Source organism: Homo sapiens, chromosome 2 (assembly GCF_000001405.40).
Source record: "Homo sapiens chromosome 2, GRCh38.p14 Primary Assembly".
Taxonomy (NCBI): Eukaryota; Metazoa; Chordata; class Mammalia; order Primates; family Hominidae; genus Homo; species Homo sapiens.
The window spans coordinates 24,111,695-24,137,540 of record NC_000002.12 but is presented as its reverse complement, the minus strand read 5'-3'; the positions used below and the strand labels follow the sequence as shown (position 1 = coordinate 24,137,540).

General features: G+C 41.6%; 2 protein-coding genes across 8 annotated transcripts in view, besides 2 other annotated features; one reads left to right on the top strand and one right to left on the bottom strand.

Moving 5' to 3' along the window:
* Window positions 1–25,846, bottom strand: part of FAM228B (family with sequence similarity 228 member B) — a 92,806-nt gene that overhangs the window by 32,098 nt on the left and 34,862 nt on the right. For 2 of the 3 annotated variants that reach the window (NR_111929.2, NM_001291328.2), the window contains exon 4: window positions 2,354–2,422. Coding sequence is in view for 1 of the 3 variants with exons in the window: in NM_001145710.2 (NP_001139182.1) it covers window positions 2,354–2,422; window positions 13,081–13,179 (168 nt within the window). In the remaining 2 variants the exon portion in view is untranslated. Of the gene's footprint in view, window positions 1–2,353; window positions 2,423–13,080; window positions 13,212–14,007; window positions 14,073–25,846 lie in introns of those variants that run through there. The other variant, NM_001145710.2, reaches the window with a different exon arrangement.
* Window positions 13,321–13,570: an enhancer, noted in NCBI's record as "active region_15427". NCBI's record gives its function as "activates an Ori minimal core promoter by ATAC-STARR-seq in GM12878 lymphoblastoid cells {active_cell/tissue: GM12878}" and the evidence as "EXISTENCE:reporter gene assay evidence [ECO:0000049][PMID:35858748]".
* Window positions 13,641–14,140: a silencer, noted in NCBI's record as "silent region_11228". NCBI's record gives its function as "represses an Ori minimal core promoter by ATAC-STARR-seq in GM12878 lymphoblastoid cells {active_cell/tissue: GM12878}" and the evidence as "EXISTENCE:reporter gene assay evidence [ECO:0000049][PMID:35858748]".
* PFN4 (profilin family member 4) lies at window positions 14,050–22,732 on the top strand. Of its 5 annotated transcripts, none has more exons than XM_006712007.5 (6): window positions 14,050–14,138; window positions 14,708–14,789; window positions 14,994–15,122; window positions 16,241–16,378; window positions 17,859–17,964; window positions 21,930–22,732. In XM_006712007.5, exons 3-6 carry the CDS (start codon window positions 15,006–15,008, stop codon window positions 21,956–21,958), a joined length of 390 nt encoding a protein of 129 aa, XP_006712070.1. In that variant the 5' UTR covers window positions 14,050–14,138; window positions 14,708–14,789; window positions 14,994–15,005; the 3' UTR covers window positions 21,959–22,732. The 5 variants fall into 5 exon arrangements, with proteins under 5 accessions (XP_006712070.1, XP_047300182.1, XP_005264349.1 ...); XM_047444226.1 differs by lacking the exon at window positions 14,050–14,138 and adding an exon at window positions 14,207–14,248; XM_005264292.3 differs by lacking the exon at window positions 14,050–14,138 and adding an exon at window positions 14,207–14,423.

Sequence of the window (25,846 nt, the reverse complement as noted above, 5' to 3'; positions counted from 1 at the left end):
AGCCTGGGTAACAGAGTGAAAACCCATCCCTAAGAAACAAACAAACAAAATCACAAACAGTGGGAGGGGGAATATAGCAAGATGTATATTTATATATGATGGATATATGTATGGCATACTATAAATAAAATAACTGAAGACAGAGGAGAGAAAAACCATTTGCTAGATTCTTAAAAGATTCCCAGTTTGGTGGGCCTCAGAAATTTAAACAGACCTACCATAAGACCCAACAATTCCACTCCTACCCAAATGAATGAAAATCCAGGCTCAAATAGATACTTGTACACCAATGTTCATTGCGGCATTATTCACAATAGCCAAAAGGTGGAAACGATCCAAGTATCCATCAAGAGATGAACAGATAAAATGTGGTATATACATACCACATTTATTTATATGTGTAATATGGAATATTATTCAGCCACAAAAAGGAATGAAGTTCTGAAACATGCTACAACATGGATGTACTTTGAAAAGAGTATGCCAAAGTGAAATAAGTCAGACACAAATGGACAAATAGTACAGGATTCCACATATACGAACTATCTGGAATAGCCAAAATTCATAGAGCCAGAAGGTAGATTAGAGGTTACCAAGTGCCTGGGGGAGGGAGAAATGAGGAGTCACTGCTTATTGAATACAAACTGTCAGTTTGGAGTAAGGAAAAAGTTTTGGAAATAGTGGTGATGGTTGCACAACATTATGAATGTGATTAATGACACCGAATGGTACACTTAAAATGGTTAAAATGGCAAATTTTATATTGTGTATATTTACTTTTATATCGCATACACTGAAAAAAATGATTAATTTTTTTTCAAAGCCAAGACTCCCAAAGTGGGAGACATTTGGGCTGGGCCTTTAAGAATGAGGATTTACACTAGGTGCGGTGGCTCACGCCGGTAATCCTAGCATTTCAGGAGGCCAAGGCAGGAGGATCACATGAGCCCAGGAATTCAAGTCTAGCCTGGGGAAAATAGTCAGACTCCGTCTCTACAAAAAAATTAAAACTTGGCCAGGCGTAGTGGCAATCCCACGCCTGTAATCCCAGCACTTTGGGAGGCCGAGGTGGGCAGATCACTTGAAGTAAGGAGTGTGAGACCAGCCTGGCCAATGTGGTGAAACCACGTCTCTACTAAAAATACAAAAGTTAGCCGGGCATGCTGGCACGTGCCTATAATCCCAGCTACTTGGGAGGTTGAGGCAGAATTGCTTGAACCCGGGAGGTGGAAGTTGCAGTGAGCCGAGATCATACCATTGCACTCCAGCCTGGGCAAAGAAGTAAGACTCCGTTTCAAAAAAAAATTAAAACTTAGCTAGGCTCCGTGGCTCACACCTGTAATCCCAACTAATTGGGAGGCTGAGGCAGGAGAATCACTTGAGCCCAGGAGGCCAAGGCTGCAGAGAGCTGTAATTGTGCCACTGCACTCTAGCCTGGGTGACAGAGTGAGACCCTGTCTCAAAAAAAAAAAAAAAAAAAAAAAAAAGAAGGGTTATCCAGGAAGAGAAGGGATGGCAGAAAAAGAGGAAGAAAAACATTCTATGGAAAAAAAAAAAAAAAAAACCCTTCACTATAACTGACCTTCAGAAAAAAAAAAAGGCAAGAGTAAAGAGGCAGAAGTGTGGCATAACCTAATCCAAGTGGCAAGTAGCCTGCAAAGATGATGCTTGATTAGGCTACAAACTAATTCATTCTCACTAAACCTTCTCATTCACCTTTCATATAGCAAATAAAGTCATGTGACTACTAGGAAGAGCGTGAAATTCAAAATGAAATAAATAAAATATTAAGAACCCTGAGAGGTCTGCTAGGCCGAGTCCCTCCCTAACCTCTGGCCATAGCACACTTCAGCCATTCCCAATGTTAGTTCCTTTCCTTTTTAAAGAGCTCTAAAGAAATTTCTTAAAAATAAAAACAGGTTACCCACTCCAGTGTCCCTGGTGTTTAGTACACTTCACATGGATGTTCTTCTTGTCACATTAAGCCCATCCTGGCTCAGTTAAACCCTGTTCTATGTATATCTGAGTAATAATTAGTCAGTGTGTTCTGCTAACAGCTCTTAAGGGTTAGCTCATTTATAGTGACTGCTGAAACCCACTAAGACAAAGAAACAAGTGAGTAGAGGAAAATTTCTGTGCCTCTCTGCAAAGGAATTCCCACAAAGTATAGGAAGGGAGGAAGTCCATTAGAGCAATTTCAGAGATCCCTTAAGGTTAATTCCAGGTGCAAGGGAGTGTTCTTTTAATTCTTTTTTCCATATTTTCTAAATAGTTTTTATAGAATATGCTACATATAAAAAGGAAAAACTACATTTAATTTTTAACTGAGATGCATTTTGTAGCCAATTCTTACCTTAATTACAGAATTTTCTTTGTATAATATTGATTGAATAGCTGCCTCAGTATCTTCTTTAGCTAAAACCTGAAAGGACAGAATTAAACTTTGAAAAGAAAATCTTTAAAAACTATTAGTGCTATCTGGAATCATTATATTTAGCATGACAGACATATCCCTGGAAAGTTCTCTATGCATGCAGTTTGTTTCCTCCAAATCATATCATCGAGTGCTTTTTTTTGTTTGTTTCTTTGAGACAGAGTCTTGTTCTGTCGCCTAGGCTGCTGGAGTGCACCAGCACCATCTCGGCTCACTACAACCTCCACTTCCAGGGTTCAAGCGATTCTTGTGCCTCAGCCTCCCAAGTAGCTGGGATTACAGGTGTGCAACACATGCCTGACTAATTTTTGTGTTTTTGATAGAGACGGGGTTTTGCCATGTTGGCCTCGCTGGTCTCAAACTCCTGGCCTCAAGTGATCTGCCTGCCTCAGCCTCCCAAAGTGCTGGGATTACAGGCCTGAGCCACTGTGCCCAGCCCATCAAGTGCTTTTTAAACAGTATTTCGATCTGTCTGCTCTTGGCTACACCAAAATATAACTCAGCTCACAGACACTTTGAGTCCCAAAATGTTCAAATGTCTTTTCCAGAGTCACATGGTAGTTACAATCCATCTTTTTTCACTTCCTATAAAATGCTTTTACTTTTCTGGGTTAAAATAGATTAAATTAGGCCTCTATTTGAGGCTTTTTGACTATGCAAGACATACTAATCTTCCAGCCTTGATTCTTACAGAACTAGTTAAGAATATGTCAACAGTTTCACTAAAAGCTTAGTGCCACCTAAGGCAAACTCTATACATAGAAGAAATGTCACTAGTGAACAATAATACAAGGTCTTAGAAAGACTTTCTATTCAATCTCCTGTTCTTTTTCGTGTTCTTCCATAATGAATTCACCCACTAATTTTGTTTTTGAAAATTACTGAAACATAAGCCTATGGATATAATAAATCAAGGAAATGAGTTATATTTTTATCCATTAACTCACAACTGTCTATAAAATGTAAAATTATAATTAAACAAGTAATTAGATCTTCTCAAAATGAAAGCTCTTATTAAAATAAAAGGAAACATATTCATTTAATTTTTCCATGACAATTGACAAATTACCCAAAAGACTGAAACAAATTTCTTAGACAGTATTGACATAAATATAATTGGAACAAATTTATTTATCATTAGTGAATATGGCTATCAAATAAATATTAATAAATTTTATTTTTAATGTACTTATTTTGGAGACAGTCTTGCTCTGTCACTTAGGCTAGAGTGTAGTAGTATGATCATAGCGCACTGTACCCTCAAACTCCTGAGCTCAAGCAATGCTTCTACCTCAGCCTCCCAAAGTGCTAGGATTACAAGCATGAGCCACCATCATGCCCAGTCAAATCCTATTTTTATATACAAGTCACATTTTCAGATTTTGAAATAACACAATCTTTAGGGAACAGTGATATTAGTGACAAAATTATGACAGCATTAATTTTTCCATTTTTATAACAAATGTTCCACAATTATTAAATACCTGCCAGAAAATGGAAGCAGTTGATTTCTAGCACAGAATTGCCTTTGAGATCCTCATGTAATTACATACAAATAAAATATTCTCAAGTTAACTGTCAGTGAAAGTAGTTGTCTTCAGTCCCACTGCTTTTATTTCCAGGACAGATGAGTAAAATCTCATTATCTAAGAACTGTCCTTCCCCATTAACATCCAAAGAAGCCAAGGCTCATGGGAGCTAAGCAACAACTAGAAGCATAGAAAACTCAAATGAGTCTACTCTAGTTTGTTTTCTTTGTTATTTTTGCCTCATAGAGTTGCCCTTCCTGGAAAGTCTGTACTCAGATAGGGGGTAGTGAATTAACATTCCAGATAAAAAATATAAAAAACAACAACCTGAAGACACTGGAGAGTGATCAAAAAGCAGGAAGTTACTGAATGCTATTCAACACCAAGAAAAAAAAACAGCACTAGATGAATTTCCAGTTTTTTATTAACTTGCCTGAGAAAGGGCCTTAGTCTGAGGTAAAGGAGGTGGCTAAAACTCAGATAGAAACATGCGGCCTAACTGGTTCAGGAATTAGAAGACAGAGTTTGGGGTAAGCATGGGAGCTGGAAGGTGAGAGGAAAAATACTGGAAAAGAGGGAGCCAAAGAAAGGATGCCACAAATTCTGCAAAAGAACTCTGACCAAATATCTGGCAAACTCTTGAACTGTATATGCATAAGGCAGACTCCATGTAGCCCAGCTTAAGATAAAAAAAGACTAAACCGTGACTTCATCTGCTGCCAACTTCAGGAAAGACAAGTTTGGAGATTGAGTTCAGCAAAGATAACTGCTTCCTAAAACAAAAGCTCAATATTCTTCAGAGGAATATAACAGAATCCAGACCCTCCACAATGTATCATTCATAATGTCCAAAATGTAATCTAGAATTACTAGATATATAAAGAAACAGAAAAATGTGATCCACACTTAAGAAAAAAACAATCAATGGAGACCAACTCTGAAATGACCCATATGTTGGAATCTAGAAGAAATGGATAAATTCCTGGACACATACACCCTCCCAAGACTAAACGAGGAAGAAGTCGAATCCCTGAATAGACTAATAACAAGTTCTGAAATTGAGGCAGTAATTAATAGCCTATCAACCAAAAAAAAAAAAAAAAAAAAAAAAAACAATCCCAGGACCAGAGGGATTCATGGCTGGATTCTACTAGAGATACAAAGAAGGGCTCGTACCATTCCTTCTGAAACTATTTCAAACAATTGAAAAGGAGGGACTCCTCCCTAACTCATTGTATGAGGCCATCATCCTGGTACCAAAATCTGGCAGAGATACAACAAAAAAAGGAAACTTCAGGCCAATATCCCTGTTGAAGTACAATGCGAAAATTGTCAATAAAATACTGGCAAACTGAATCCAGCAGCACATCAAAAAGCTTATCCACCACCATCAAGTTGGCTTCATCCCTGCGTTGCAAGGCTGGTTCCACATATGCAAATCAATAAACATAATCCATCACATAAACAGAATCAATGACAAAAACCACATGATCATCTCAATAGATACAGAAAAGGCCTTCAATAAAATTCAACATCCCTTCATGTTAAAAACTTTCAATAAACTAGGTATTGATGGAACATATCTCAAAATAATAAGAGCCATTTATGACAAACCCACAGCCAATATCATACTGAATGGGCAAAAGCTGGAAGCATTTCCTTTGAAAACCAGCACAAGACAAGGATGCCCTCTCTCACAATTCCTATTCAACATATTACTGGAAGTTCTGGCCAGGGCAATCAGGCAACAGAAATAAATAAAGTGTATTCAAATAGGAAGAGATGAAGTCAAATTGTCTCTGTTTGCAGATGACATGATTCTATATTTAGAAAACCCCATCATCTCAGGCCAAAAGCTCCTGAAGCTGATAAGCAACTTCAGCAAAGCCTCCGAATACAAAATCGATGTGCAAAAATCACAAACATTCCCTATACATCAACAACAGACAAGTAGAAAGCCAAATCATTAATAAACTCTCATTCACAATTGCTATAAAGAAAATAAAATACCTAGGAATATAGCTAACAAGGGATGTGAAGGACCTCTTCCAGGAGAACTACAAACCACTGCTCAAGGAAATAAGAGAGGACAGAAACAAACGGAAAAACATTCCATGCTCATGGATAGGAAGAATCAATATCATGAAAATGGCCACACTACCCAAAGTAATTTATAGATTCAATGGTATTCTCACCAATCTACCATTGACATTCTTCATAGAATTAGAGAAAACTACTTCAAATTTTATATGAAACCAAAAAAGAGCCCATATAGCCCAGACAATCCTAAGCAAAAAGAACAAAGCTGGAGGCATCACGCTACCTAACTTTAAACTATACTACAAGGCTACAGTAATCACAACAGCATGGTACTGGTACCAAAACAGACATATAGACCAATGGAACAGAATGGAGACCTCAGAAATAACACCATACATTTACAACCATCTGATCTTCGACAAACCAGACAAAAACAAGCAATGGGGAAAAGATTCCCCTTTAATAAAGAATTCCTTTAATAAAAGCATTCCCTATTTAATAAATGGTGCTGGGAAAACTGGCTAGCCATATGCAGAAAACTGAAACTGGACCCTTTCCTTACACTGTATACAAAAATTAACTCAAGATGGATTAAAGACTTAAATGTAAAACCCAAAACCATAAAAACCCTAGAAGAAAACATAGGCAATAACATTCAGGGCATGGGCAAAGACTTCATGACAAAAATGCCAAAAGCAATTGCAACAAAAGCCAAAATTGACAAATGTGATCTAATTAATCTAAAGAGCTTCTATACAGCAAAAGAAACTATCATTGGAATGAACAGGAAACCTACAGAATGGGAGAAAATTTTTGCAATCTACCCATCTGACAAAGCTCTAATATCCAGAACCTACAAAAAACAAACAAGTTTACAAGAAAAAAAAATCAAAAAGTGGGCAAAGGATATGAACAGATGCTTCTCAAAAGAAGACATTTACATGGCCAACAAACACATGAAAAAAATCTCAACATCACTGATCATTAGAGCAATGCAAATGAAAACCATAATGAGATACCATCTCATGCCAGTCAGAATAGTGATTATTAAAGTCAAGAAACAATACATGCTTGTGAGGCTGTGGAGAAACAGGAGCACTTTTACACTGTTAGTGGGAATGTAAATTAGTTCAACCATTGTGGAAGACAGTGTGGCGATTCCTCAAGGATATTAGAACCAAAAATACCATTTGACGCAGCAATCCCATTTCTGGGTATGTACCTAAAGGAATATAAATCATTCTACTATAAAGACATCTGCACATGTATGTTTATTGCAGCACTATTTACAATAGCAAAGATATGTAACCAACCCAAATGCCCATCAATGATAGACTGGATAAAGAAAATGTACATATACACCATGGAATACTATGCAGCCATAAAAGGGAATGAGATCATGTCCTTTGCAGGGACATAGATGAAGCTGAAAGCCATCATACTCAGCAAACTAACACAGGAACCAGAAAACCAAACACCGCATGTTCTCACTCATAACTGGGAGCTGAACAATGAGAACACATGGACCCAGGGAGGGGAACAACACACATCAGGGCCAGTCGAGGGCTGGGGGTGAGGGGAGGTGAGCATTAGGACAAACAGCTAATGCATGCAGGGCTTAAAACCTAGATGACAGGTTGATAGCAAACCACCATGGCATATATATACCTATGTAACAAACCTGCACGTCCTGCACTTGTATCTCAGAACTTAAAGTAAAATAAGAAAAATAAAAAGAAAATTATATTGACATGAAAATCTGAAAAAAAGAAGACAAGGATTTGAGGACAGTTATGATAGCTATGCTTAAAAATATGCTTATAATTAATGAATAGAAAATCTTAGCAGAGAATAGAAATGATAAAAAACCAAGTGGAAAATACAGTTCTTAAATTTGAGAAATAAACAAACCTCAATGGGTTAGTAGCAGATTAGAGATGACATAAAAATAGTCAGTGAACTTGAAGACAGACTATTAGAAATTACCCAATCTGAAAAAAAAGGAAGAATAAAGATTAGAAAATAATAAACAGAGTCATAGTGACCTATGAGACAATATCAAACGATTCAGCAAATGGATAGAGTTGCAGAAGTGAGGAGTAAAAGAATGGAGCAGGAAACAACTGTTTGAAAAAATAATGTCTGGATGAGAACTTTCACTTTTGAACAAGACAGAGTAGCAGGAAACAGACTTACTCTCCCACCTGAAACAACTAAAAAAAAAAAAAAAAGATAAAATAGATGAAACAACAGTTTCCAAGATATCGAACATCAGGCAAAGAAGAACAGTGGCCCCTGAGAAATAGAAAACAAACAGCCCAACTGTCTGCCTGAATTGAGGAGTGGGGATGGGAGTCTGGAGAGGCCAGAGCAGTTGGAGTTCATAGGTTAGAGTACTAGAGGGAGGAGAGCTACAAGAAAGATGGAGCTCTGGAGAACTGCAAAGGGTCAACCGCAGAGGTCCCCTTGAGTCTTCAGCTGATCGTAAACACTACATGCCCAAAGGAACAATGGGCAAAGAAACACCTGCAAGAATTAGGGAATCAATCCCTAGAGGTCACACAGTCCCAGGAGTGTTTGTTCCCTTTAGCATCAGCCAGAGGAAAAAAAAAAAAATTCCCATAGTTTGAAGTGCATAGAGTAGAGTATTTGGAGAGGTTTTGTATCAGTACTGAAACAAAATTGGCCCTACGGTAGATACTGCTGTGGTCCTGTCAAGCAAAACTCGGAGGCAAGACCTGAAAGAATCCTGCTGTGTCCAAGTAACTTAACTGAATCCAAGGGGAAAAATGAAAAATATTTATGGGAAATCTGTGCACTTGTACTTAAAAAAAAAAGAGTATTTATAGCAAATCAAAAATATCTAGTACTCAATATGGTTAAAATTCACAGTCTTGCATTTAATCAAAAATCATCAGGCATACAAAGAAATAGGAAAATTTAACCAATAATCACCAGGTATACAAAGAAATAGGAAAATTTAACCAATAATAAGAAGGAAAATTAACCAAAACTGCCCCCAAAATGACAAAGACACTATAATTATTAAACCAGGACATTAAAAGTTATTATTCCTGTAGTTCATAAGTTAGGGAAGCTAGAAGACTAGACATGTTGAGACAGAAAAAAATGTTTGAAAAAGAGCTAAGGGCCAGGCATGATGGCTCACACCTGTAATCCCAGTGCTTTGGGAGGCCAAGGTAGGAGGATCACTTGAGGCCAGGAGTTCAAGACCAGCCTGGGCTACATAGAGAGATCCCGTCTCAACAACAACAACAACAGCAACAAACCAACAAAAAACGAAACAAAAGAATCCAGATAAAACTTCTAGGGACACAAATTATACTTGAGATAAAAATATGCTAGGTAGGTTTATTAGCAGATTAGACATTACAGAAAGTTAGTGAACTTAAAAGCATAGCAACAGCAGCTTTCCAAAATGAAATGCACGGGGGAAAAACTGAAGAAAATTACCAGAATATCAGTGAGCTACAGGACAATTTCAAGCAGGTTATTGTACATACAGTTGTATTTCCCAAAAGATGGAGGGAATAGAAAAAATAATTTAAGAAATAGGCCAGGCACAGTGACTCATGCCCGTAATTCCATCACTTTGGGAGGCCAAGGCAGGCGGATCACTTGAGGCCAGGAGTTCAAGATCAGCTTGGCCAACATGGTGAAACCTCAACTCTTCTAAAAATACAAAAATTAGCTGGGCATGGTGGTGCACATCTGTAATCCCAGCTACTCGGGAGGCTTAGGCACAAGAATTGCTTGAACCCGGGAGGCGGAGGTTGGAGTAAGCTGAGATCATGCCACTGCACTGCAACCCGGGTGATAGAGTGAGACTCAGCTGAAAAAAAAAAAAGAAATAATGGCTGAAAATTTTCCAGATTTGTCAGAAACTATAAACCCACAGATACAAGAAGTTCAATGAACTCTGAGCAGTGGAGAAATTGTAACTTTCATACATTGCTATGAAAATTTAAAACGGTATCACTGCTGTGGGAAACAGTTCAGCAGTTCCTCAAAAAGTTAAACATATAGTTACCATATGACCCAACAAACAATTCCACTCCTAGGTTACATACCCAAGAGAACTGCAATCATGTTACCTAAAAAGTTACACAAAATGTTCATAGCAGCATTATTCATAACAGCAAAAAAACAGAAACAACCCAAAAGTCCATCCACTGATGAAGGGATAAACAAAATGTGATACTGAGACAATGGAATATTATTTGGTCATCAAAAGGAATAAAGTACTGCTTATGCTCTGACACGGACAAACCTTGAAAACATTATACTAAGTGAAAGCAGTCACTAAGGACCACATATTGTATGATACCATTTGTATAAAATGTCCAGAGTAGACAAATCTGTTTAGACAGGAAGTAGATCAGTGTTGCCAGGAGCCAGAGAGGGAGGGGAATGGGGGGTGACTGCTAAAAGGTGTGAAGTTTCTTTTTGGGGGTGATGAAATGTTCTGGAATTAGATAGTGGTGACAGTTGCACGGATTTGTGAATATACTAAAAAACACTGAAAATAAAAATTCTGAATTTAAAAAAAAATAAAAAACACTGAATTGTACACTTTAGAGTAGTGAATCTTGGCCGGGCGCCCGGTGGCTCACGCCTGTAATCCCAGCACTTTGGGAGGCCGAGGCGGGCAGATCATGAAGTCAGGAGATCGAGACCATCCTGGCTAACGTGGTGAAACCCCTCTCTACTTTTTTTTTGTAAAAATACAAAAACAAAAATTAGCCAGGTGTGGTGGCAGGCACCTGTAGTCCCAGCTACTTGGGAGGCTGAGGCAGGAGAATGGCGTGAACCGGGGAGGCAGAGTTTGCAGTGAGCTGAGATCACGCCACTGCGTTCCAGTCTGGGCGACAGAGCAAGACTCTGTCTCAAAAAAAAAAAAAAAAGTAGTGAATCTTATGGCATGTAAATTATATCTCAATAGGAAGAGTCCAACAGTAAGAATACAAACAACCCAACTTAAAATTGCCAATTTTAAAGTGGGCAAAAGATTTGAACAAACACTTTGCCAAAGAAGATAGATAAATGGCAAGTAAGACTTGAAAAGATGCTCATAATCAGTCATTAAGGAAATGCAAATTAAAACCACAATGAGATGTCACTATACATCTTTTTAAAATGTCTTGAGTTAAAAAGGCCATACAATAAATCAGTATAAATAAAACTATTCCAAATGTTGGCTAGATTATGAAACAACTGGAACTCTCACACACTACTAGTGGGAATGTAAAATAATTCAATGACTTTGGAAACTAGTTTGGCAGCTTCATAAAGTTAAATTCATTTACCATATGACCCAGTCACTCCACAACTAAATATCTACCCAAGAGAAATGAAAGCATACGTCCATACAAAGACACACACATGAATGTTCATAACAGCTTTATTTGTAATAGCCCCAAACTGGAATCAACCCAAATGTCCATAAACAGGATGAACAAATTGGGATATATCCAGATAAGGGAATAGCATTCAACCAAAAAAGGAATGAAGTATTGATACATACAACATGGGTGAGTGGCAAAATAATTATGATGAGTGAAAGAAGACAAACAGAAGGAAAAGAAATATATACTGTAAGATTCCATTTGTATACAATTTTTAAAATGCAAACTAGAGTGACAGAAAGCAAAGCAGGCTGGGCGCAGTGGCTCACACCTATAATCTCAGCACTTTGGGAGGCCGAGGCGGGCAGATCACTTGAGGTCAGGAGTTTGAGACCAGCCTGGCCAACATGGTGAAACCCCGTCTCTACTAAAAATCCAAAAAAATTAGCCAGGTGTGGTGGCGCAGGCCTGTAATCCTAGCTACTCAGGAGGCTGAGGTAGGAGGATCACTTGAACCCGGGAGGTAGAGGTTGCATTGAGCCGAGATCACGCCAGTGTTTTCCTGGCTGAGTGATAGAGCGAAAGAAAGAAAAGAAAAAGAAAAGGAAAGAGAGAGAAAGAATGAAAGAAAGAGAAAGAAAGAAAAGCAGTGGTGGGGGGATGTGAGGGAGGGATTACAACAGAATATTAAGGAAGCTTTGGGAGTACTGAATATGTCCACCATCTTGATTGTGGTGATGTTTTCGTGTGTATACATGTCAAAACTTACCAAGTTTGTACACTTTATTTGAGACAGGGTCTTATTCTGTCACCCAGGTGGGGATGCAGTGGCACAATCACAGCTCACTGCAGCCTCAAATTCCTGGGGTCAAGCAATCCTCCTGCCTCAGCCTCTCAAGCAGCTGGGACTATAGGTGTATGCTACCACACCTGGCTATTATTGTTCGTTCGTTTGTGGAGACAGGGTCTCAGTATATTGCTCTGCCTGGTCTAGATAGAACTCCTGGGCTCAAGCGACCCTCCCACCTCAGCCTCCCAACGTGCTGGGATTACAGGCATGAGGCACAGTGCCAGACACACACTTTAAATATATGCAGTTTACTGTATATCAATTACATCTTAATAAAGCTGTTTAGAAAAAAGAAACTACAATCTAAAAACAATATAACTGGCTGGGCGCAAGGGCTCACAGCTATAATCCCAGCATTTTGGAACACCACGGTAGGTGGATTGCTTGAGCTCAGGAGTTGGGGACCAGCCTAGGCGACACAGTGTAGAGATTTTTTGTATCTCTACAGAAAATACAAAAATTAGCCAGACATGGTGGCGTGCGCCTATACTTCCAGCTACTAGGGAGTGGAAGGATGGCTTGATTCCAGGAGGAAACATAGCAAGACCCTGTCTCAAATATAAATAAATAAATAAATACATCATATCAAAATTTGGGTGATGCAGCTAAGGCAGTACCTCAAGAGAAACTTATAGCTATGTTACATTTTAAAAGGTATATAATCAATGACCTATGATTCCACCTTAAGATGTTAGAAAAAAACAGCAAAGTGAATATACAAAGTTAGTAAAGTGAAGGGAATAATAAACAGAATGAAATAAAAACAAACAATAGAAAAAACAATATATTTAGCACAAGCCACTTCCTACTGCAACGATCCAAGTAAAAAAATCTCCAAATCCCACACTATTTGATATATACCTCCATAAAACAAAGGGGCTTGGGCTCCAACCATTCTTTTGAGCTCTTGAGCTTGGGAAGTGTGCCAGTTACCAGATCATCACTGTCTACATTTTTCATTGTGGTCACAAATAACAATGCCCCTGGAAAAACTAAAAATCATCTTATTTAGTATTGAACATTTCACAGTCATCTGATTTTCTCTTCTGTTTAATACCACCTGTGTCCTTGCACACACGCAAAATGGATTTTGAACACTAACCATCCAGTTTCCCTAACAAGAGGCCTTCACTACAGACTCCAGATGACGGCTTCAGAGCCAGCCTCCTTTATAAGCAGGCGAGATGCTCTTTGAAAGAATCCCCCGTCCCTTGGAATGGATTCCCACGTCCCCCTCCAAGGCAGCCCATTCCAGCCAGTGTGGCAGCTTCAGCCTGGCCTCTCGGAGTCCCATTTGCAACACTTTTCTGACTTTGGTGGCCTCGAGTGGGAAGAACTGCAACTTTCTGGCCACAGAAACACAGGCTGAGCTGCTTAGAGAAGGCAGGGAGGGGCTTTCGGTCATACTGCGCGAGTCTTCGAGCTCTGAGCGGCTCGAAGTCCTCCCCGAGGCACGGGTGCGACGGGGATGTCGTAGGCGTCCGCACCCGCTCTCGCTCATCGCGCCCACTCCCGGCCCTTCCTCCCACCCACTAGGCCGGGCGCCTGCGGCCTCCACGCCAGCCCCGGGCCGGGGGCCTCCCGCGCAGGCGCGTCGTGCGCGGGGACCGCCCGGCCTGGCGGGGAGGTCGCCGGCCGCGACAGGCACCTCTCTGCCCTCCCAAGGCCAGCAGGCCCGCGGCCGTCCTGCTACACACTCGGGCCCGGCCCGACGACCCCGGAGCCGTCCGACTGCGGCTGGAAGGGAGCCCGCCCGCGTCTGCGGAACGCGCGAATGTTGGCGCCCACCGTCTCCCGGACGCAGCGCCGCGCGAGCACTCCGCCCCCTGCGCCGCGGGTTCCACAGCGAGTCCGCGCGGGCGGTGCCGGGGCGGCGGAGGACGGCTTCAGGCCCAAAGGGGATTGGGCGGCGGCTCTAGGTGGCGGGTCTTGGTTTGCGGAAGGGGCTGGAGTCGCTGCTTCTCGGTGACCGGCGCGTGGCCCGGCCAATCCTGCCGCCGCCACCCACCCGCAACCGCGTCCGTTGACGGTCGGGTCCTTGGTCGCCGGGTCCTTGCGGGCACCACAGAGCGGGGTGGCGTCCGCTCCCTCGAGTCCTCGGTGCCAGGGAATTCACCGCTCACCACCCCCTGCCCCGCCTTGGGTCCTGCTCGGGGACCAAACCACTGGAAGGCAGTGGCGGGAAACGGGCGCCTGTGCCGGAGGTCCTGATGAGGGGGGTCCAAGGCTTGGGGACTTGTGCGGGAAATGTGGGTTTAAGTGCCTTCAAGGTGTTTTTAGTCCATTGGGATGTTGATCAGCGTTCATAGCTGGCGCTGATGCAGGTCACCGGGAAGGGAATGTGTGGGTTTATGGCCACGCATAATCTCTTTTAGTCGTGTTTAACTTAGCAGGGTAGCTCTCCATCCTGGCTGGGTTTTGTTTTTTGTTTTTATTTTTTATTTTACAGAGTTTTTCTCAGTGTGTAATGTTTGTTTTTAAATCGCAGATAATCCTGATGTAAACCATTGACATAGCCAGAAAATCACCAGGCTGTGATTTTCCAAACTCAGCTTCATAACCTATTCTGTGTGAGCTGTGATTTTTCTATGATTCTGTTTTCCTCTTTGGGTACTGGTGGGCCCTGAATGATGGACCACCGTTTTCACCCTGTACCTTTTCAAAGTACACTTGCTGATCTTAGAACTGTCTGCAGTGTCTTAAGGACATTTGTATTCACATGCCTTTTAAAAGCTAGCCAGAGTCAATGGCTTCAACTGCACTTTCCCTTTCAGAGTTGAGGGAACATGAGCCATTTGCAGAGCTTATTGTTAGACACCCTCTTGGGAACCAAGCATGTGGACAGTGCAGCCCTCATCAAAATCCAGGAGCGGAGCTTGTGTGTAGCATCACCAGGTTTCAATGTAAGAAAAAACAAGTTTGGACCTAAGACTTGATTTACTTATTATTTCTATTCTTCCAAAAAATGAAGCAGACATGACTTTTTTTTTTTTTTGAGACGGAATTTCACTCTTGTTGCTTAGCCTGGGATGCAATGGCATGATCTCAGCTCACTGCAACCTCCGCCTCTCAAGCGATTCTTGAGCCTTAGCCTCCCGAGTAGCTGGGATTACAGGAGTGCGCTACCAGGCCCGGCTAATTTTTGTATTTTTAGTAGAGATGGTGTTTTACCATGTTGGTCAGGCTAGTCTCAAACTCCTAACCTCAGGTGATCCACCTGCCTCGGCCTCCCAAAGTGCTGGGATTACAGGCATGAGCCACCGTGCCCAGCCCAGACATGACTTTTAAATGAACTTTTTCTGTAAAGAGCTACATAAATATTTTAGGTTTCTAGGCTTAGTCTTTTTACTGTTGATATAAAGGAATACCTGAAGCTGGGTAATTTATAAAGAAAAGAGGTTTATTTGGCTCACAGTTCTACTGCCTGGAAGACTGGTCATCTGTGAAAGCCTCAGGCTGCTTCCACTCATGGCAGAGGTGAAGGGGAGCCAGCATGTGCAGAGATCACAGTGGGGGAGAGGAAGCAAGAGAGAGCAAGTGGAGAGGTGCCAGGCTCTTTCTAAGAGCCAGCTCTCCTGGAACAAATACAGTGAAAACTCACAGCTTCCCCCAGCTCGCAGGGAGGGCATCAGTCTATTCATGATCCAAATACCTCCCATTAGGCCCCACCGAAAACGCTGGGAATCAGATTTCAACATGAGATTCAAACTATAGCACAGGGCCGTAGAGTCTCTGTCACAACCACTCAACTCTGCAATTGTAGAGGAAAAACAGCCATACATAAAAGAATGAATGTGACTGTGTTCCAATAAAATTTTATATTTATGGATACTGAAGTTTGAATTTCATATAATTTGTAAGTGTCACGAAGTGTTATTCTTTTGATTTTTTTTCCCCAACCATTTAAAAACATGAAAACCATTCTTAGCTTGCAGGCCATAAAAAACAGGTAGTGGGCTAAATTTGGCTGGCCACCAGCCATAGTTGGCTGACTCCTGCTCTAACCATGTAACCTCTCCAGGTAACGCCCAGTGATGTCCGAACACTGGTGAATGGATTTGCCAAGAACCCTTTGCAAGCCCGAAGAGAAGGACTGTATTTCAAGGGAAAAGATTACAGATGTGTCCGGGCAGATGAATATTCTCTTTATGCCAAAAATGTGAGTGCTCAAGATTTGAAGAGAGCTGAGTAAAAGAAAAGAATTTGCCTCCAAATTTCCTTGCTCTGCCTGATCCTTTCTGTAAAACAGATTAAATCCATTAATGTCTTGAGCCATTGTCTTGAGATAGCAGTCTAGTGCCAGGAAGACATATGTGAAAGAAAGTCCTATCAAGAGCCTGGTTTTGAGAAATGTTCATTCCAGAATCTATTAACTGAGCCTTGCCTGAACTCTTTCCAATACAGTCCCACCTTCATACTCTACATCCTCCTTTAAAAAAAAAAAAAAAAGAGATAATCATTTCTGTGCTTAAAACATTTCTCAGTGGCCAGGCACAGTGGCTCACACCTGTAATCCCAGCACTTTGGGAGGCTGAGGTCAGGAGTTCAAGACCAGCCTAGCTAACATGGTGAAACCCTGTTTCTACTAAAAATACAAGAAAATTAGCCAGGTGTGGTGCGCCCTTGTAATCCCAGCTACTTGGGAGGCTGAGGCAGGAGAATTTCTTGAATCCAGAAGGCAGAGGTTGCAGTGAGCCGAGATCGTGCCATTGCACTCCGGCTTGGGCAACAAGAGCGAAATTCCATCTCAAAAAAAAAATTTTAAAAAAAATCAGCTCTCTGTTGCTTATAAGGAATGAAAGAGATGAAAATCATTCATTGGATGCCCTATATTATGGGTTAGGCATGCTGCTTCATCCACATTATAAACTAAATAATCTCATTTTACAGATGAGGACACTGAGGCTTAACAAGGTTAAATAACCCTTACTCATGCAGCAGAAAAGGAGGCACTAGAATTCAAGCCCAGAGCTGTCCAATTCCAAAATGTACGACCTTTCCATTACATCAGTTTTGTTTTGTTTTGTTTTGTTTTGTTGTTGTTTTTTTTTTTGAGACGAGTTTCACTTTTGTCGCCCAGGCTGGAGTGCAATGGCACGATCTCGGCTCACTGCAACCTCCACCTCCTGGGTTCAAGAGATTCTCCTGCCTCAGCTTACCGAGTAGCTGGGGTTACAGGCGCCTGCCACCACGCCTGGCTAATTTTTGTATTTTTAGTAGAGATGGGGTTTCACCATGTTGGCCAGGCTGGTCTCAAACTTCCAACCTCAGGTGATCTTTCTGCCTTGGCCTCCCAAAGTGCTGGGATTACAGGCGGGAGCCACTGCACCCGGCCTACATCAGTTGTTCTAATTGGGATGGGGTATATGATAATCAATTGCAGAACTTTTTCAAAATCCATCTACCATTATTATAACAGTCTGAAACTTTTTGAGGAAAGGCAACTAAATTGGTGGAAAAGAGTGGACAGTCCAAAAACAGATATATAAACATATGGAAAATATATACGGAATATGTATATTCCATATATATTCCAAACATATGGAAATCAGGAAATGGTGAAAAACGTAGCTGGAGCATGACCACTGGTCCTGTGATTAGAACCAAGAGCAGAATATTCTCTTATATTCTTTATACAGGAGAACACTGGTGTGGTTGTCGTGAAGACCCATCTGTATCTTCTGGTAGCAACTTACACTGAGGGCATGTATCCTAGCATCTGTGTGGAAGCCACAGAGAGCCTGGGTAAGTTGGCCTCCTAGTTCCTGTCTTCATTCCCTATGTTAGTTGGGTCTTCCGACTACGAGTAACAGAGATCCAACTCAAACCAGCTAGGGCAGAAAGGAGGAATTTATTGGAAGGATGCTGAGGTTATTTACATAGCCACTGGAAGGACAGGGTGCAGCTGAGCCATGGGGAAGGTAGATTCAGGGACTGGAACACTGCTAGGATTCTGTCTTGACTTCTAAATGAGTCAGCTTTGTTCTGTCTCATAGCAAACTGTTTCCTTTCCTGGCTGATATCATGGCCAAGCCTCCCATAATACCCCTTAATTTCTCTTAGGACCCTGATTTGGCAAGTTTCAGGTCATATGGTTTACCCCTGTATCAGTCAGCTATGTAGGTGGGGCAGGATAGGGGAGGGGGGAGACAGCAGGGTAAAAAGGCAGAGATGTGGCTGCTGGGGGTCTACCCTATATAAAGAGACATTTTACAGGAAAAGGAATTACTGTGAGTCAGGCAGCCACTTTGTTGGTATATACTGCATTCCCCCTCCGTGTCTATACATTTTTGAATAAAGATCTCATAGAGAACTAGCTTGGGTATTATATCGGTGAGAGTTGAGCTTAATAAATGGTAAATTGTGTTTGTGTTTAGATTTTTCAAAATCTAAATTTAAATTTTAAAAAGTTTACTGGAGTTGCATAAACACTCCTTTGAAACAGAAGCCTCTAGTAACAAAAGCAGCCACTCATTCATTCATTCATTCATTCAACAAACATTCAGAGGTACTTACCATGTGCCCTGCACTATCCTAGATAAATTAGGGAAGCAGAGCTGGTTAAGATATAGCTTCTGCCTTCCATGCCTCTGTACATGCTGTTCTATCTGCCTAAAATATTTTCTGTTTCCTTCCTGTCCCTCACATCTATTCTGCAAATTCCTAATCATCATTAAAGAACCAAGTCAGATCTCAGGCTTCTATCCATTGTGGTATGTATTTTATGCATACCTTTATGATTATCCCCATTACAGTTCTTTGTTTATCTAGATTGTGAATCCCTGGAAGGCATTTGTCTTGTCTTAATCCTTCTTTTTCTCCATTACCTAACACAGTGTCTGATGTTGGGTAGGCAATTAGTACATGTTTGATGAATAAATCAATGAATTACTTCGGCCTAGCAGAGTCAGGGAAGGCGCCAGAGAGCTGAATCTTAAAGGGCCAATTGAGAAATTAAGTTTATCACAGAAACTATATACCTATGTACAGATATGCCTCATTTTATTGCATTTTGCATTATTGGACCCTTCCTGAACAGATGTCAGGATTTGAAGGAGGCTCCATTTCAGAATTGTAGGGCAGGAGCAGAGAGCAGAACAGAGACATAGAGAGCCAGGTTAATTATCTAATTAAAATAACCAGAATATGAGATTAGAAAGATGGGCAATTTGGCTGTCAGGAAGCCAGGCTCTTACCCTGTCAGCTAGGGCTCAGGGCTAATTCCCCAGAGGAGACCAGATAAATTGCCTGACTACTGTAATGTAGGTCATGTGGCTGGCACTAAAGGTTAGTATTCTTGCTTAGGGCCACAAAAAACTCCACAGACTCCAAAGAATGTGCCCTGGTTAGAAGTGCACTGCTGGCATCACGCCATTAATATCCCACTGCTCTGGGAAGGGACAGCTATCTTGGAAATGGTCGTATGATCAGGAAGGATGGACAAGGCTGATATCCACTCAGGAGCCAGTTGTCTTATGACTGACTTTTGTTTCCTTTACTCCTTTTTAAAAAAATATTTTTCTCTATCTAAAAAATTATACGTGATCATTGTAGAAAATTTGGGAAGTAAAGAATTACAGGCCAGATGGGGTGGCTCACACCTGTAATCTCAGCACTTTGGGAGGCCGAGGCAGGTGTATCACTTGAGGTCAGGAGTTCAGGACCAGCCTGGCCAACATGGCAAAATCCTGTCTTTACTAAAAATACAAAAATTAGCTGGGTGTGGTGGTGGGTACCTGTAATCCCTGCTGCTCAGGAGGCTGAGGCAGGAGAATCACCTGAACCCAGGAGGTGGAGGTTGCAGTGAGCCAAAATAGCGCCATTGCACTCCAGCCTGGGCGTCACAGCGAGACTCTGTCTCGAGAAAAAAAAAAAAAGAAGAAGAAGAACTATGACCATTTAAAAATTGTATTATGAAAGATTCTAGGGGCATGAATATTAATTAAAGAAAACCTTTAAATAGACAGGAAAAGGATGCTATGCTACTTCTGTCACACAAATTAATCAGGTTTGTGCAGTGGCTCACGCCTGTAATCCCACCACTTTGGGAGGCCAAGGTGGGTAGATCATTTGACGACAGGAGTTTGAGACCAGCCTGGAAAACATGGTGAAACCCCATTTCTACCAAAAATACATAAATTAGACCAGGTGTGGTGGTAGGTACCTGTAATCCCAGCTACTTGGGAGGCTGAAACAGGAGAATCACTTGAACGGAGAGGCAGAGGTTGCGGTGAGCCGAGATCGTGCCACTGCACTCCAGCCTGGATGACAGAGCGAGACTCTGTCTCAAAAAAAAAAAAAAAAAAATGCAGGATTGTTTTTAAAATAAATATATTAGAGAGTCACATTTGTAACATTGGTAAAATGTTAGCATCTTTAATTCTAGGTCCTTAGTTGTTTTTTGTTTATTTTGTGTTTCTGTTTTTCTTTTTCTTTTTTTTTTTTGAGACACAGTTTCATTCTATCAGCCAGGCTAAAGTGCAGTGGTGTGATATTGGCTCCCTGCAACTTCCAGGTTCAAGAGATTCAAGATTCAGCCTCCCAGGTTCAAGAGATTCTCCTGCCTCAGCCTCCCAAGTAGCTGGGACTACAGGTGCCTGCCACCACACAGGCTAATGTTTGTATTTTTAGTAGAGACGGGGTTTCACCATGTTAGCCAGGCTGGTCTCGAACTCCTGACTTCAAGTGATCTGCCCGCCTCAGCCTCCCAAAGTGCTGGGATTATAGGCGTGAGCCACTGCACCCGGCCAGGTCCTCAGGTTGAAAAAAGAATCTTAAGCATACGTTGTGACTTATTCTGCAAGACTCTGTATAAAAAAAAATGAAGTGCTACCTGGCATGGTGGAGTGCACCTGTAGCCCTAGCTACTCAAGAGGCTGAGGCAGGAGGATCAACTGAGCCCAGGAGTTTGAGCCCAGTGTGGGCAACATAGTGAGACCCCATCTTTAAAACGTGAGTACATCAAGTGCTGTAATCAGGTTTTGTTTTGTTTTGGAGACAGAATTTCGCTCTGTCGCTCAGGCTGGAGTGCTGTGGTGGGATGTCAGCTCATTGCAACCTCTGCCTCCCGGGTTCAAGCAATTCTCCTGCCTCAGCCTCCCAAGTAGCTGGGACTACAGGAGCATGCCACCATGCCTGGCTAATTTTTTGTATTTTTAGTAGAGATGAATTTTCACCATGTTAGCCAGGATGGTCTCGATCTCCTGACCTCATGATCAACCCACCTCGGCCTCCCAAAGTGCTGGGATTACAGATATGAGCCACCACACTTGGCCGTAATCAGTTTTAAGTCTAGGTCATAGAATACATATAGGAGAGGAGGGCAGCAGTTTCTTTTATTCTCCTGAGCCCTCTCTCACCCTGTTCCCTTTGCCCAGCCATATGCATTATTCATCCTTTTTTTTTTTTTTTTTTGCATGGGAACCCAATTCATACTCCAGGACAACTCAAATACCTCTACTATGGCACTTATTACCATGAAATAGAATTGATGTTTGTGTGTGCCTATATCCCCTACTAGACAGTGAACTCCATGAGGGCAGGAACTGTGTTTCAACTATCCAGTCACCCTTGTTTCTCCAGTACCTAGCACAGTGCCTAGCACATGGCAGTCACCTGGCAATGTTTGTGGAATAATAAATGGATGAATGAATCATTTGTAGTGATAATTTGCAGCTCATAAATAATAACCATGCTGTGTTTGCTTTCAGGAGACTACCTAAGAAAAAAAGGAAGTTAAGTCATCAGAGGCCCATGAAAGACAATTTTATTATTTTAGAAGAAAATTGAAGAGCCTAAAGAAAAAATATTTTATGGTTGAAAAAACACTAGACAGAAGGCACTAAAAAAGAAGAATGAATTAAGGGAGCAATTTTTATTACTTCCAGAGATCCTCTTCTTTCACTGGAATTACTTGATCAACTGTTTTTTAATAAGTGTTGGTCATCGGCATGGAATGAGAGAGCACTGATCATTTCACAGAGCATATCTATTGGGAGGCTCCTTTCTGTGAGGCTCTTGTACTCCTACACACCTTGCTAAGTATGCCAAGAATGCAAGGCTCTCACCACTCTTTATCCAAGACATTTCTCAGGGTTAGGTTGCAGCAAGCAACCTTGAAAAATGAAGGGATGTCTCCCATCAGGACAGAGAGCAAGCTTGCTTACTGTTTGCTATAAAAGCAGTGGAGTCCCTGAGCTCAGTGTTACCCCTCCTGTAATACAACTCCCTGCATGTGTGACATCTGTCTGGCTCACATCACCCCGGTGAGACTTGGGAGAAGGGATTGCAAAGGCCATTCAACAATGGACCACTAGTCAAGGTATTCAATGGACATTTCACACTCCCATTTGCAGGTATCTGGTATCATTTTGAACATTGGAAAGGCCTTCTCAAAAATCAACTCAAAAAGATTTCTGACTCTAACCCTAACTCTCACTGCACACCTTAGTAAGGCAGTATGGTCACTAAATGCACCCTTCCCCAGAAAGAGTTCATCTCCTCTTGGTCTCCTAGGTGATAATCTGGACCATAAGGGTGGAGAGCTATAGAACCTATTTTGAAAATTCAAGATTCTACACTGACTATTGCTAAACATGATGCATCTTTTTTTCCCTGACAACATCCTCAGGCCAGCCTGGTTGGTATACCCTTCAGATGTCCCTGGGGAGAGACCACCTTCGACTACTTAAAAAAAGACAGCCTAGGGAATTCAAATTTAATTCTGGTTCAGCTAGATTGGACTAACATGGTCCTATATCATGACGATAATGACTACTTAGTTAAGTACACTGTTCTCTAGATCCCTCTACAGGGTTCTACACAGGCCAAGATAGGATATAATGGTTCTCTTTAATTTTGCAAAAATGCCCCTGTCCCTCTTACATCTGACCCTTCCAGACAAGATGTCTGGAAGCAAGTAGGGCACGATTGGAGAAAAAGTATAGACATGGCTACTGGGATGGGACACACCAACTGCATGGCCACGGAGACCCTAGCACCTGGAGAGGGAACACATTCGATCTCAGGAGATTGGGAAACGGGAGCCCTTTCATGTTCTTTTTGTCCCCCAGATTCAGCATCTCCTTGTGGCAAACCCTAACTTACTAGCCTTTGTAAGTCAAGTAAAATCAAATCTTAGGTCCTTTATAGTTGTAATCAGGCAGTGAGGTACAGAATTCAAAATTCCAAAGACATGCCATCTAGGGCAGGATGTCTTTTGCTGGTATTTACAAAATTATCTCATTTTCAGCTCTGTATAATAGCCTTACACAGAACTTACTTCCAACATCATTCCTTTTCTGAGCTTGGATGGCCAAGTACCACAGATTTGTTTTTTTGTTTTTGTTTTAGTTTTTGATTGGTAGCCTTGCCACTAGTCCGTTCATCCATTATTTAGTCAGTAGTTTGATTCTTTTGGGGGTTTTGTTGTTGTTGTTTGTTTTGAGACAGAGTTTTGCTCTTGTCACCCAGGCTGGCGTGCAATGGTGCAATCTCGGCTCACTGCAACCTCCACCTCCAGGTTTCAAGTGAATCTCCTGCCTCAGCCCCCCAAGTAGCTGGGATTACAGGCACCCACTACTACACCTAGCTAATTTTTGTATTTTTAGTAGAGACGGGGTTTTGCCATGTTGGTCAGGCTGGCCTCGAACTCCTGACCTCAGGTGATCCACCCGCCTCCGCCTCCCAAAGTGGTGGGATTACAGGCCTCAGCCACTGTGCCCGGCCTGTTTTTTGTTTTTATTTTTGTTTTGAAACAGGGTCTCACTCCATAACCCAGGCTGGAGTGCAGTGGTGTGATCACAGTTAACTACAGCCTCAATCTCCTAAGCTCAAGCGATGCTTCCACTTCAGCCTCCCGAGTAGCTAGGGTTATAGGCACATGCCACGTGCAGCTAATTTTTAAATTTTTTGTAAAGATGGGGTCTCACCATGTTGCACAGGCTGGTCTAGAACTCCTGGGCTCAAGCAATCGTTCTGCCTCGGCCTCCCAAAGTGCTGAGATTACAAGAGCGAGACACTGCATCTGGCCTTTGATTCTTTTTGAAAAGAGATAACAGTAAATTTTAAATTAACTTATTTAGCATTCTTTGTAATAAGAACGTTAAATAAGTGTATTTAGATGTATTGTTTACTGTTGTATCACCACTACCTAGCACATAGTCGGCTTTGTGCTAGGTAGTAATGATACAACAGTAAATAATACATCTACCCCAAGACAGGCTCACAATTTAGTGGGGAAGGCAAGTTGTAAATGAGTCACATGACCACATGATAAATGCTGGAGCAGGTGTAAAACAACTACAGAGCACAGTCCTGAAGACTAACTGTGTCTTCAGGAACCTGAAACTAGCATTTGAAGTGCATTTGGAAGAAGAGTGAGTATGGAAGAGAGTAAAGAGTATTCCAGGCTGAAGGAGCACCAAATGCCAAGGCACAGAGTGATGAAAAGGCCTGTTGTGTGGAAAGAATGGTGAGAGGTTCCATGTGGCTGGAAAGCAGTACGTGGGAGACAGTGATCAATGAAAATGGGAAGATGGATAGAGCCAAAATAGAAAAGGCTACTCTCCTTGGAGTCACTCAGAAGACATCAAGCAGTGCTGTGGGGTAGACAGTACTTTTAGAAAACTATTAAATTAGGATTACAAAAGTAATATACACTCACTTTTATAACTTGGGAAAATAAGTTAGTCATAATTTCACATTAAGTGAAAATTTCTGGGCCCGGCATGGTGGCTCATGCCCATAATCCCAGCACTTTGGGAGACTGAGGCTGGCGGATCAGCTGAGGTCAGGAGTTTGAGACCAGACTGGCCAACATGGCAAAACCCCATCTCTACTAAAAAATACAAAAATGAGCTGGGCGTCATAGCAGGTGCCTGTAATCCTAGCTACTCAGGAGGCTGAGGCACAAGAATCGCTTGAACCCAGGAGGCGGAGGTTGCAGTGAGCCAAGATCGCGCCACGGCACTCTACCCTGGGCGACAAGAGCGAAACTCCACCTCAAAAAAAAAAAAAAAAAAAAAGATGAAAGCTTCTGGTGATGGTTTTGAGATTTTCTTCAGGTCTCTTTTGATGCACATAATATATACATTTTAACCTTACCTAGCCTTAATGCATAGAGTTGACATTCCACTATGTTCATTTAGCATGATGCTATGAGACCTTGAATGTCTTTAAATTGCTTCAAAAACATTTTAAATCGCTGCATATCATATAAACATTATATTGTTCTTTGTTAGATATTTAGATTATTTCTACTTTTTCACTTTGTAAGTAATATTACAGTTTAGAACTTTTACATAATTCTTTGTATCTCTGATTATTTCCTTAGGTCTGGAAGTGGAATTTCAGGGTCAGAATTTGAGCAAGTTTATGGCTCTCTGGAGTTTTTGTTTTGTCTCTTACAAGGAAGGAATTTTACACCATAGCTTGTAACATGCAGTTGAGGGGTTTTTTTTGGCAGATGGGAGTTGTATGTAATTCAGCTCTAATTTATCAGCCCCCTCTGCTTGTGGGGTGAGTCCGAAGCAGTCTTAGTGTCCCAGTGGGTGAGGATGAGAGGAAATACTGCAGACATTTGAACTAGCTGAGTCAGAGACTGGAGAAGCAGGTTACTCTTTAAATT